Raw genomic sequence first — 14,304 nt, forward strand, 5'->3', positions numbered from 1 at the left:
AGTCTAAAGGTCATAACAGAAGAAAACCTGTAATTAACTACAAACTACCAAAAAACCAAGCATGACTGAGAAATTCCTGAAGCAATTATCACACAAAAAAAATAACTTAAATGTCACTGGAGCTATTCCTGGTAACTTTGTCAGTAGTACTCCCAGCTGACTAACAATCACAGTTCAATATGTACTGCTGAAGTTGTACCTAGTTTATAAAGCAGTAGCTTCTATGAGAAAGAATACAAGAAAACTACGGTGACTATTTCTCCAGAGAAAAACTGTACTGAGGAAACTATAGCAAAAAGAAAATTGATGTCAACACAATAGTATCTCACTTCAAGAAATCAAAAACAAAAGAACTTAGTAAAATTTTTCTAATTCAACTTTGTTTTTAAAGGGAAAAGAGAACTAAAGAAAAAAAAGACAGCCATGATTTTTTGTAGCGTAGGCCACAACATTGAGCTATGTTCAAAGGAAATAGATGTCTAAAGCACACATTTCTTCCTAAAAGAATGAAAATTGGTTCTTTGGGAACAAAAATATCATATTGATTTTATGTAAAGGCAAACATTCACATGGTGCATCTGTACATAAAATATATCTGGAGTATTAAAGTTTCATGGTGGGGATGATTATGAAAAAATGACTATATAGGCTCCATAGGGACATGATGATAAAAAATAGATTAAGTAGATTGAAAACACTAGTCTAAAGTGAAGTGATGTGTTTTAATATCATAATATGTGAGAATATAAAAGTATTTACGTATGGATTATTTACAATGGAAAAATGACTATTATAGTTCATATTTCATTTTATTAATGTAATTGATTAGAATAATGGTATAGAAATAGCAAAAGCAGAATATTTGGTTTTAAGAAAATATGGTGATATAAGGGAATGAATATTAATTTCTAGAGTGGAAGTCTGTAGCGTTCTAGAAATTACCGTGTTTTATAGGCTGTAGTGTGAAAATTATCATTAAATACGCAAATTGAAAAGAATCACTAATGGACTCTATACAAATAAAGTGTTAAAATGAATTTATTGGATCAATAGGAGCTTCCCAGTAGGAATGCTGAGAGGTTTAATAGATTAGACTCCATTTTGTTTAGATTAACAGTTAAAACAACTTTAAAAATTTTTATTAAATTATGTTTTTGCAACCATTGAAGTATAGATAAACAAAAAAAGAAAAAAATTAATTATATGTTAATAACTTTTTAAAATTCATCAGTACAAATAAATTATAGAATCATAAAGGAAAATAGAAATCTCATGATGATTAAAATAACATTCAGTCTGGAAGGTACAAAACTTTTACCTTCATCATTCGATATTTAGGTTCAATTATATTCCCATCTATGCTTTAGGGACTGAATTGGATGGTGGTAATAAGGTATAATATATGGTCTGTGCCAATCTTATGGATGGCAAGAAAAGAACAAAATTATGGTTTTACTGTGTGTATTTATTTATTTATTTATTTCAATAAATGCCCTTTAGTAGATATTTTTACATCTGGAGACATTCTCACATCTGGAAGAGGACACTGCAACAGTAGCCTATTTTAATCTTGTCATGAAAATCTTGGGATACATCTTTTTTGCTCAACTCCCTGGTTTTTCTGTCTTATTTTTTTCTTCGGGGCATAGTGGACACTGGTGATGAATTTGGTGTCAGATCCAGAACATGTTGTCTGTACCCCTCTTACAGCAGTGATTTTCTTCCACCTTGTAATATAATTATCTGAAGTCCGCCTCATCAGAAAGTACATAGGGAAACTATCGTGACTCTATTTCTCCAAGTAGAAACTGTGCTAAGGGAACTAAAGCAAAAAAGAAAATTCCTACTTCCTTTGCTATAATCCTCTTGAGGGCATTTTTATATTCCCTGTGATATCTCATATGTCTTGTATATAGTAGTTCAGCTATGAGTTGATGAACGAATAATATAAAGAATAAAGCAACGATAAGAAATAATGAGCAGAGCATTTATTAATAATTTGATATTGATAACAGAGGAAGTTAAATTATTCAAAGAGCTCAACCATAAAGCAGATGGCTTCACTTTCAAGCTGGGAATCAAAAAACTTTAAGTGCTAGAATATTCATGTCAAGAGGATCTTCCAAGAATAAGCCAGGAATGCAATTAGGGGCTGACTCATGGATGACAATGGTCGATGAGTCACAAAGAAATTTTGAAAAAACAATGATGTCCCTGGGGACACATAGAAAGAATTGGAACTAGACTGTCAAGATCATATATATTAACAAGCTAATAGAAGGCGGGAAATTTTGGTCTCTATGAAAATGTGCACAAAAGTCCCAGAACACTATACTTCTGTGTTTGAACTGTGCTACTCTAAATTATATAAAATATACTCTATAATGTAGTAAAGAAAGATTTCTTTATGCCAATGTCTCACATTTTATAGACATTTTACCTGCTACTGTCAACTTAAGTTACTCAAGTATAGTTCTGTTGATTTATCTCCTAATGAACAACCGCTAATGACTTACCAATTCCTAAGGAATATCTCTTAGGATGGACTTTCTGAGGGCAGGGCCCTGGATCTCAAGTACCAAGTGAAGTTCTAGCATACAGGAAGTATTAAATACAGGCTGAGTATCCCTTATCCAAAATGCTTGAGACCAGAAATGTTTCCGATTTGGTATTTTTTCGGATTTTGGAATATTTGCAGAATACATACTGGCTGATCATTCCTAATCAGAAAATCCAAAATCTGAAATGCTCTAGTGAACATTCCATTTGAGCATCATATAGGTGCCCCCAAAGTTTCAAATTTTGAAACATTTAAGATTTTGGATTTTCTGATTAGGGATGCTCAACCTGCACATTTGTCTTGAAAAATAAATAATGAATAAACCTCCAACTTTTAAAATGAATTCTTGTTCCCAATGTCTTTGCTAACATCGGTCTCTCATTCTATCTATGTCCACAAGTTGAATTTTTAAACCATGCTTCAAGGATCAGGTCAAACTCCACTCCTGTCATAAAGCTTCCTTAAGCCTTATAGCAAAAATTAGTGCTTCCTCTATGTTCCCGTAATTATTTATTTCTCAGATGCACTTACCATATTCCACCTTGCATTATAGTTGATTGTGAGTATATCTTTTTACCCAACTAGATATTGGCCTTTAAAGACAGACTTATTTAAAGACAGACCTTGACTTATTTATCTTCATAGTGCCTAGAATTCCTACCCTAATGTGTTGCTTCAGGTTATTAAATAAAATTGAATGTGAAATTATTTAATCATATTTTTTCAAGGTCATTTTACTAGGCTAAAATGGAGCTAAGGAAAATGTAGCTAATGTCTGCAAATTTCTAATTGTTGAACTTAGTCTGAATCTCAGAATAGTGGCATTATAAGCTTTCAAATTAGAGTAAATGAAAAGTAGATTAGACCAAGCGCATAAGAACACAGTATACAGAACAGCTGTACTGTGTCCTCAACGGGATAAACTAAATCATAATTACAGATATGTTTCATCTTTCTTGCCTTTATACTCTTTTGAAGATGCTCTCAACTTCAGTGCTTTGGGGATTTATTTGTCACTGTAAGTCTGAAATTAGTTTGATTAGTTTTGCTGATATCTATCATTTCAAAATGTCTGAAATCTGCCTTAAAAAGTAAGCTGGCACAAATCTTGGGGCAGTGCTTATTAAGGTTCCCACATAGAAGTGGCTGAGTTTGTAAATGAGTCATAGAAATTCAGTATCAAAAAGTTAATTTAAAACAAATTATTCTCTTGGATATAAGGAGGACTGCTTTGTTTATTCTTAAATTTTTCTCCTTACTTCTTCATGCTATTTTTCTCTTCTCTTCTGATTTTCCTTATATGTTCTCAGATTTTATCATCCCTATCTTCTGCTCAATCTGGGTTTGTTTAAAGTGTTTTTATTCAGCTCGTACTATGCGTATAGCACTTTGCTATGCATGAAAAACATGACTGCCAAGAGATTTATTTGAACTTAATAAATTTTATGAAGCTAATGCTCAGTGCTGTACCAGGAACCATGTTATTTTCTCAGACTATAAAGTTAGTAAGACAGAATTTCTACCTCTGAATAGATTATGGTAGATAGCTAGAGAGAACAATCTTTGAGCAATACTTTTTTGTGGTTGTGATAGGGTAATGTATACAGGGCCACGAAAACTACATGGAGAGAGAAGTTAGTTGTCCAAGGGAATTTTTTAAAAAGCCTCAGTATTGATAATAAGGGAATTCAAGGAAGAGGGGAAATGTAGAGAAAATGCGTATGTAGGGAATATTACAAATCTGTTTCCTGGAAAGCAGGATGCCTTCCTTTAGAATTATTAGTTAAGATTAACCACTCTTTAAATTGAGAGATTATATCCTTCCCTGTTTTTCATTATATGGTCAGCTTTCACTGGCCTGAGTCCACATTTTAAGCTCAACTATATACAAATAATTTTTCAGTATACTGAGAGTAGGATTAATGAAACCAGTCTGGAGAGCAGTCACAGAATGAGAATAGATCTTTCCCATAGTATCACTATGTGACTAACTGATTGTACTGATGTGTTACAGAAAACACTGTAAAAAGTTAACCAGAGGAAAACTTTGCTTTCTACTTTATCTGATCTTTACCCCAGTTTCTCTACCTGTCAAATTCCTATGCTTGCCTCAAATGTACATATTTTTAATCTGAAATGTGAAAAGTATTTATAACTGGTGTAATATCAATGTTCTATTATACATCCATGCATTAATGTCTTTAATTTTACCATGAAATTAAATGAAGTACCTCAATAACAGAACAGTGAACTTTAAATGAAGTAGCTCAATAACAGAACAGTGAACCTAACTGGCCCCATTTTAGTCAATCTAATGCATTCCTGCACAGGTATTTATCATGACATTTACTCTACACTCAACCTACATGAAGATCAACATAGTCACTTTTACGAGAGTAGATTTGCATCCATCCAATAATCTTTCTCACCAGTGTAATTAGAAAGGATACAGCTTAACACATAGCTTTTGAGCAGATTTTTAAAAATATCATTATACGTTAAATATAGTTGAGAGGGTAAAATGAAGAATGTACAGTTAATATTTTCCTTATACAGACATGGACGCAGCTCATAATGTTGAAGGATACCTCTGTTGCTGATACATCTCTTTATTTGCAGGAAAATGTTGAAGGAGGAGACTGTAGTCGTTGCAAATCCGGCTTCTTCAATTTGCAAGAGGATAATTGGAAAGGCTGCGATGAGTGTTTCTGTTCAGGGGTTTCAAACAGATGTCAGAGTTCCTACTGGACCTATGGCAAAGTAAGCAAGCACCATTTGGTTCTGTTTGCTGCCCCAGCAGCCTTCTTTGTTGCTTTCATCGTTGTTCTTTTGTATGAACAGTTTCTGATAGTGAACTTCTACATAAAGTTACAGGAAGAAGTAATGGAATTTTCTTCAAATGCTGTTGTGTATTTTTGCTCAAAGCCTTTGAGGTTGTATTTGTAATATTGTGTAGACTGGAATTTCTTAGAATAGGTAGACATAGTCTTTTTAGTGTCCATGATTACTCTATGAAACAATAATGCAATTAAGGTTTCAACTCCAAGGGTGCATGATTTAAGAGAGAAAACACTACATTGTGATATGAATTATATTTTCCATTACTAGTATGTTCGTATGCAAGTTGAGAAAAACTCTGTATCATCTGTATACATAATACATATTATCCACCAACGCTTTAGTTACTATTTGATGTTGCCTAGGCTCTTTCATTATTAAAAGGGGACATTAAATATAGGCAATACCTTCATTCTGAGTTGGTTTGAAAAATTATTACTTAAACTATTTAATAGCAACTGAAATTTTCTTTCTTTAACGTAAATGTGTTTACCTTTCTAACTTCACTGCCTACACTACCCACTGCCTTTTCAAATCTGTGCAAAGAGCATGTTGTCTCCCTATACAGAAAAGTGTCAGAGGAAAATGGGACCTTCTGGGAATTTCACACAGCCTGTGTGGCTGGACTTAAGAGTGCAGAATGGTAGGAAATGGGCTGGAGAGAGAAAGAAGTCTAGACGGGGGAATGAGAATCTAGAACTTATAGGGTTGAATATACTAAGAATTTGAGATATTTTACTTGGAGTGTCATTGAAGAAATTTAAGCTAAAGACTGACATTATCAGAGTTGTGTTTTATAAAGACTACTATTTAGATAAACTATTTCCTAAACACTTCTTCCTTTCAACTTTAATCAGTGAACTAATCCTGAACAGAGCTATAAAATATTTTCTCTGCCTGCAGTGCTTTTAAGTCAAGCCTCATATTATGAAATATTATCTATACGTTATCAACTGTATTGCTTTCAGAGCAGACTTCAAAGAATCAACCACAGATGGACATCTAGTCTAACTTCCTCTTTTGTTTATAAAGTCCCACCCCACCCTCCAGACTGCCCCACTGATAGATCAAAGTTTCATAGCCAGCCAAGGGGCAGAGCTGGTACTCAAGCTTTGATCATCAGATGCTAGAGACACAGAATCCCATTCAACTGTCTTACAATGCCTCAAGGGTGACGTTAGAAAGGGAAGAAATGCAAGGAATATATTACTTGTTGTCCAGAAAGTCAACAGGTTGTACCTGGTTTCTATTTCTCATTTAACTAAGGGAATTGCAGTGATTCCACAGCTTTGGGATAAGCAGAGTCAAATAGTCTATGAAGAAATTTTAAAAAATATTTCAGCCACATAGAGTCACCCTTAGCATTCTGCTTCCCATCACCCACAACATGAAGCAGCTCATGCATGTCTAGTAGGTTCCTGGTAGCTGGTACCCTAAGCCCTCAGTAATCAGTGTTTTGTCCTGACTAGGTAGGATGCTTTAAATTAGAGGTGTAGCTGTAGGCCTGACCTTGGCTGAAGCATAAAGATGTAAAAACAAATCATTATGCATTCCCAGATTCCTCCTTTAAGGTTCCTTCCATTTCTGGGCCAGGGATCTAGGCTGTAGGTCCCCACAGCACTTCTGACCCTATCTGAAGGAATACATACAGTATTGCCAGGTGTTGTCATAGCACCAAGGCTGGTGGGTTCAAATATCCTTAAGCCTCAAAGTAGAAATTTTAAAAAGTGGGAGGGGTGGAAATACTGAATGAAACACCACCTTTCAGGTACTTGCATAGTTTCTTTCTTTTTCCCTCTGCATTACAAATACATACGCAATACTTTTTCAGGTTGTTTTTTCCAAAAGCAACAATAAACTACTAGTGGAGTAAAAAATACGGAACTGAAAGTCCAACTGTTTGATTAAGTGTATGTTATAACCATTGTATGACTTTGAGTGAATTTCTATTTTTAAGAAAGTGGTATTTGGAACCACAATTTTTTAAAAAGCATAGGTTCAATGAAAACAGATTATTATAGAATACCTTGGAAACTCCTAGAAACATCAAGGAAAAAAAATAAACAATGGAAGCCTATGTGAGTACATATAATATGTCTAATGATATTCATAATGCTCAGGTTTTTTTCTAAATGTTTGTGGTTTGGTTTTTTTTGTTTTTAATTTCCAAAAGTGGACACGACCAGGAACATGAAAGAGAAAAGCAGCTGATAGATATTTTTTAAAAATTAATGATGACTGTGTGTTTTCTCTAAGATACAAGATATGAGTGGCTGGTATCTGACTGACCTTCCTGGCCGCATTCGAGTGGCTCCCCAGCAGGACGACTTGGACTCACCTCAGCAGATCAGCATCAGTAACGCGGAGGCCCGGCAAGCCCTGCCGCACAGCTACTACTGGAGCGCGCCGGCTCCCTATCTGGGAAACAAAGTAAGTCCACGCTTGCTTCCCGCTATTCTGCTTTAACTGACTGATCGTGAGAATGGGTTTTAGTTGGTAATTCTTTTAAAGAAAGACAAAATCAAATACACACTGAATTGGATTGCCAGAACCAGCTAAATCACATTGAGTTGGGCGTTTCTTCCATGTTGCACAAGACCTTAAAGAGCCACGGCATCCTTAATATGCAACTTTGTATAGCTGATGTTCTATGTAAACTTTTTGAATGGGCAAATAAATTAATGAAGCCGCTAGTGTATTTTCGTAAAGCAAATTATAGGTATTGGAAGAAACTGTGTTGTGTTTATGTGAAAAGAGCTGTTTTCTGGAGTTGTCTGTGGTGGGATACTTACTAAAGTTTTTCTCATCGGTTTCTATTTCATTTCAAAACTGATACTCAGGAGATTTACTTTTCCTTCTACCTGATATGAATGTTAATTGGAAAAGAAATGTATTACATAACTAATTAAATGCTTGCCATGAGGCTTATGTAAACAACATATTTGCTGGAGCTCAGGCAGAAACTACCCTAAAAGTGCCAGATTGGAAGCACGTTTGTTTTAAAGCCCACACATATGTAAAAACATACACAGATAAACAAATGTAGCAGCCTCAGAAATACAGGCTTATTTTTTTCTGTTGTGGATTACTTCTATCTAGATAGATATCCTGGGGTTTAGAATTTTATTTTATCTTGCCTAATACTTTGTTGGAAACAAAATTTGGTGACTTATTTATAAACGTGAATACTTGCTTGTTCTGTGAAAGTTAATACCTTCTCAGCTGATAGTTAAAATACCTGATCACACCAGAAGGTGTGATGGGAAAATCCCTTCCTAAATTAATGTTGTTTAAGCCTAGTTTACACCTAACAAAATATAGCATTATTTATGAAGAAATCATAATTGATTAAGCAAATAAAAGTATGTTTATAGTCAGTGGTTTTCTTGCATGACATGTGAGTATTGAAATAGAAAAACTTAGTATCTCATATGCTACTCAGTGAATGGGAACTGGTGGTGTTGGCTGGTTGAAACACTTTTAACTTATGGCCAGTTTCTTATATTTAACAGAACTCTGAATGCTATTACAAAAAATGTGTAAATGTCTAAAAGACATTTTCAATGAACATGTATTTTAAGAGACAGAGTATGTTGCATAAAATTCAATAGCTGTAAAATAAAAATCGAATTAAACTTTTATTTGCAAGGCCCTTTACAGCAAGAAGTCATTTTATCCTATTCTATTTAGGAAACTCTGGTATTCCCAAAAGAACAAAACAGCACATAAGACTTGAATTTCTACTGCTTAAAATTGCCAAAAAAATATAAAAATATACTGTCAATTTAAAAAAAAAACAACTGAGAGCTCCAAGAAGAGCCTTAGGTCAAAATTGGATGAATTTCAGAGGCCTTATTTCTTATATGATGGCAACACTTAATTAAAGTAGCTTATAATAGAAATATTCTTTACCAGATTTTCCATCCTTTCTTCTTTGGTCATATGCATTTTTTTTTCTGTTGGCTGACAATCAAACTGACAGAAGGAAAGCAAGCAAATGGAATATTCGGTAGAATCAGAACAAAGAATTTGGACATCCCATTAGTAGTTGTTGGTTCCCGAAGATAACTTCCCTTATCCTGGCTGAAATATTTTTCTTATAACCCACAGTGAAGCTCTTCATATTCCCCTACCGATCATTTTCACATCAAAACACTGTTCTTGCCTGTACTGCCGTTTCCATTCAGTGAACAAAATAACATTAACAGGGTGTGCAAATTGTTTGAATACGGAGGACATTTTTAATGTAACGTGGAAGCCCTTGGTGGTTTACTGTCAGGCATCTCAGTATGAATGAAACAATTTGCCTTAATAACTGAACCATGTAAATTTTTGATACTACAATAATACTGCAAGCTCTCAGAAATTACCACAGTACATCTTAACTGTCATGTCACATCACGTAAATTATAGTCATGATGACATGCTTAGCTTGGTTGATTTAATATCTTGCTAAGGAAGTGGAAAATTGTAGGGCCTTGTTGGTAAATTCAATAAAGCCACTTTTCTAAATAGTTGAGGCTAAATTCTTTACCAGTAATTGCTGTTCGAATCAGAACCATTGCCAGAATCTGACAGAAATAGCGTATCAAGATACAAGTGCATCTGCTTAAATATTGAATTTTATTTACATCCATGACCAGGAGTCTATGGTACATAATCCTTCCTCTGCTTTTTTAGTGTTATTTCCTAATTGGAAAAAATTATGAGATGCTATTAGCTTTTCCTAAATATTTATATACAGACTTTCAAACATTTTCCAAGTTGCTTGGTTATAAGGCTTCTTCTAACAGAAGGGCGATATGCTGTGCATGTTCTCTTATAATGGAGATGCCACATGCTGTTATTCTTTTTTTAGGAGCCTAATCCCAAATAATAAAAGTGGCTCACATGGGACACATTTTTGCTAACATGGATGTCTGCCTGGTTGTAATAAAACTCAAGAATACTAGCCAATTTAGCAAAGGAGTGCTTTGTATCCTGTGAAACATTTTTCACATTTTTACTGTTTTGGAATAATGAAGTATAAGTAAGTGATTATAAGTGTATGTGTGGATAATGGATGAGGCCTAGGAAAACTTAGCACGTTTTTATACTTTCTATTTTTGAAATTCCCACAGTCTCAGCTAGGAGTTGTTCCTCCAATTTTTTCCCCTATGTACCAGTGAATATTTGGCACAACTGGCAGAATCAAGTGTTAATTTTCCCGCCTCGTTCTTGATAGTCAAAGAGAATTAAATCAGGCACCCACAGGGCTATCCTAGGTGCATTTCATTTTCAAAATGCTTGGCAAATGTTAATGCTTGGTTTTAGGGCATTTGTTTAAGCAACTAGGCAGCAGTGGAAAGAGCTAGAGGACAAAGAATCCTGCTGGTTTGCTGCAGGCTACAGCTATTCAGAAACAGTTTGGGAATTTCAGAGTTGGGATAATTTACTGCCCTAGTAAACTAAGTGCTACTGGAACATTGCAACAGTCATTTGCTTAAGGTTGCCCTAGTGGTCTGAAATAGTTGAGGCAGCTTCCAAAAGCAATTCTCTTTGCATCTGTAAAGTTCTGGGAGAAGCTAGCTTGGCTTGTCTGCTGTTCCTGCATTACCATTAAGGTTTGAAATTCTCTCTCTGAATATTATTAAATTAATCTTATGTGATTTGTTCTTTACCAAAACCTGCTTATTTTCTACAGCATTATGCTATCTTTCTGTTTCTAGCTTAGAGAAGCCTTTAAATTTGTTCATATAGTTGCCAAGAATACCTATAGTCTAGTTTAAGATGCACATTAGGAGAGTCTGCTGACATAATAGCATCTGGCTTCTAAAAGTAATCTCTGGTAAACTCTTTTGTTTTGTTGTTCTTGCTTGACTTTCCATTCTACTTCACGGATCTCAAATTAAAGCTATAGATTTGAAGAAGGAAACTGATATTTGAGATTTGTAGGACAGGGTAGATCTCATCATATAAAAGAAGCTCAACAAATACCTTGTAATTGATGCTACATGCTTAACACAAACAAACAAAACTCTAAGAAATTGTTTTTTTTAGGTTGCTCAGAAATGCCCATTGAGTTGGATTTGTGGGAGTTGAAAGATGAATTCTGTCTTGCTTTACAAAATAATTAAAAACTCGCTAACAAATATGTTCCACTCTCCTTTGAGCAGCATATTTTGTGACTTCTTTGCTCCATAGTCCTCAAAATTATTCAGAAGTGGAGTTCAAACCCCTCCTCGCCATCCATAACTTCCTCCTATTTAAATCTTGGATTAAATGGGTTAGTTAAGAAGATCATTATGCAAGTGAAGAATGGTATGGCTATAAAAGTAAATAGGATAAATCAACTGTGGTTGATTTTTTATTCCATAAATCAGATCCCATCAAGACTAACTTGGCAATGGAGTAGAACCAGGAAGAAGGTTTGCTGCCTAGAATAAACTGAATGAATTTGTAAACCAAAAATAAAATTCTAAGACCCCTGACTGAACGGACCCCCTTCTTGGCCAAGGGAATCCCAAAGAAACCTAAAGAAACCTGAACATCATGGGAAGGGACGATTACACATTCCTCATTATACCCTGCTCCCTTTGGAGTTTAGACACCACAGACCAACAGTAACATTAAAACAGAGATTTTAAAACTGACTAGACAGACACTTTACAGCAACAAGATACCAAATTCTAACCTCACTCTGGTATAGCATAACATAACAGATAGCAGGCCCTAAAAGAAATCAAAGTATTTTATACCAAAATATATTTATTTGACATATTCTGAAATGACCTTGCAAAGCTGTCTCTTGGGGAAATTTGCATTCTATAGAGAATCTCCTTCCCTTACTAAGTCTTTTCTGGAGAGTCAGATACCTTTTAAGGTCTGGCAAGAGACATTCACCATCAGCCTGCTACTTTACCCTACTACCTTGAGGCTTCATCTACATGACAAGAACCGTGGCTTCCACAACCCACTCTCTTAACTCAAGCTGACTTCAACTGTTCAGGCAGAATTTTACTCTTTCGACCAATTGCCAGTCAGAAAATCTTTGAATCCATCAATGACTTGGAAGCCCCCACCTCGCTTCAAGATGTCCTACTTTTCTGGGCCGAACCAATGTGTAACTTAGTACTGGTGTATGTCTTTGCCTGCAACTTTCGTCTCCCTAAAATATATAACGCCAAGCTGTAACCCAGTCATCTTTGGCACATATTCTCAGGACCTCCTAAGGCTGTGTCACAGGCCATGGTCCTTAACCTTGCCAAATAAACCTCTAAATTGATTGAGACCTGTTTCTGATACTTTTTGGTTTACAAATTGTTAAGGATAAATGAGAAAATAAGTATTAAAAAACAAAAAAAATCAAGGACTCATTTATTTCCCATAGCTATGATAGAATCTGCTGTGTAAAAGTAACACAAATGCAGGAGCTCAAGGTCAAACATAGAAACCTCTGTCTTACATATCCGTCATAACATTCTCTTGACGTTTTTCCTAATTAAATTTATAAAGCATTAGTTCTAATGTTAAAAATTGTTATATAAAAAGCATTTTAATATTCACATGCATCTGTCTACAGTGTTTTACATTTTGTTTATAATTCGTCAACTGAATGAATACTAGATAGGAGAATGTTCCATTTAATAAAAACTCTTGAGAAAAATAAAATAGCTTACTTAACAGTAATTTCAATGTGAGTTGGTTTGTGATGTGGTTGGCAACAAAACTTACGTAATCTAGGGCTACATTGGCAGGAATTTACTGGTCAGGACAAAGGAGGTAGTGTTTATACAGATTCTGCACAAAACGCATGTCACCTAATATTATTATTAAATATTATTAAATATTATTAATATTTAGCTTACTTGTGAATTTCTCTTTTTATCTTTGTTAATATACATGACCCAAGTCATCAGCTAATAAACCAAGAAATCCAAATTAGGAAGAAATAGAGCCAGGATTACAATCCAGATGTGTCTATAGCCCATTCCAGTTAAGCATTTTTTCAATCAGTTAAGTTTATTAGTTCTTGCAAGGCATTGATCTTTGGAATAGAGATGCTGAAGCAGCTTATTCAAAAGAAAGGGAACGACAAAGATATGAATTTATAAAAATACAAATGAATGAGATGAATAACAAATGTCAATAGAGGGGACACAAATCCAACAAGTTTTTTAAATGGTTTCAAAGCTCTGGCAAGATTAATCAAGCAAAACGTGGGTAAAACACAAATAAACAATTTTAGAAATGTAAAAATGGGCATAACTGCAATTACTTCAAAAATAAACAAATAAGGAAGTATCAGAAAATAAACAAATTAAGAGTATTATGAAAATTTACACACAATAAGAATACAATTTAGAAAAAGGAATATCCTTCTAGGAAAATGCAACTTAAAAAAACTGACTCAAAGAAAAAAAATCTATAATGTCAGATAAACATTAAAGTAATTGAATCAGCAGTCAAATAAACCTTCCAATGAAGTTAACTCCAAGCCTATTGATTTGCAAGTAATATCAATCAAAATTCAAAAATTTTTAAAAATGCAAAATTATACAAACTTTCCAGAGAATAGAACAACTGGGACGTACTCCTCACATAATTTTATGTGGCTTGATATAAAATCTTGACAAGAGGACTATGAAGAAGAAAACCCCTACCCAAAGTCACTCATGAACGTAGATGAAAATATCCTAAATAAAATATTAACAACCCAAATCCATCAGTTTATAAAAATAGTCAGGCTAAATTGGCCAAGTGGATTTTATCATCCGTGTTTGAGGTTACTTTAAAATTAGAAAACCAGTTTAAGTAATTGACCATATTGACTGATTAAAAGAGAAAAAAATCAATTATCTCAATAGACACAGAAAAAGAAATGGGTAAAATTAAACATTCTTCATGTCTGAAAAATTTTGAAAACT

General features: G+C 34.3%; 1 protein-coding gene across 2 annotated transcripts in view; it reads left to right on the forward strand.

Moving 5' to 3' along the window:
* Nucleotides 1-14,304, forward strand: part of LAMA2 (laminin subunit alpha 2) — a 633,429-nt gene that overhangs the window by 301,888 nt on the left and 317,237 nt on the right. For both annotated transcript variants that reach the window (NM_000426.4, NM_001079823.2), the window contains exons 11-12: nt 5,180-5,320; nt 7,655-7,828. In NM_000426.4, the coding sequence (NP_000417.3) occupies nt 5,180-5,320; nt 7,655-7,828 (315 nt within the window). The remainder of the gene's footprint in view (nt 1-5,179; nt 5,321-7,654; nt 7,829-14,304) is intronic.

The sequence above is a fragment of the Homo sapiens genome, chromosome 6, assembly GCF_000001405.40.
Source record: "Homo sapiens chromosome 6, GRCh38.p14 Primary Assembly".
NCBI lineage: Eukaryota > Metazoa > Chordata > Mammalia > Primates > Hominidae > Homo > Homo sapiens.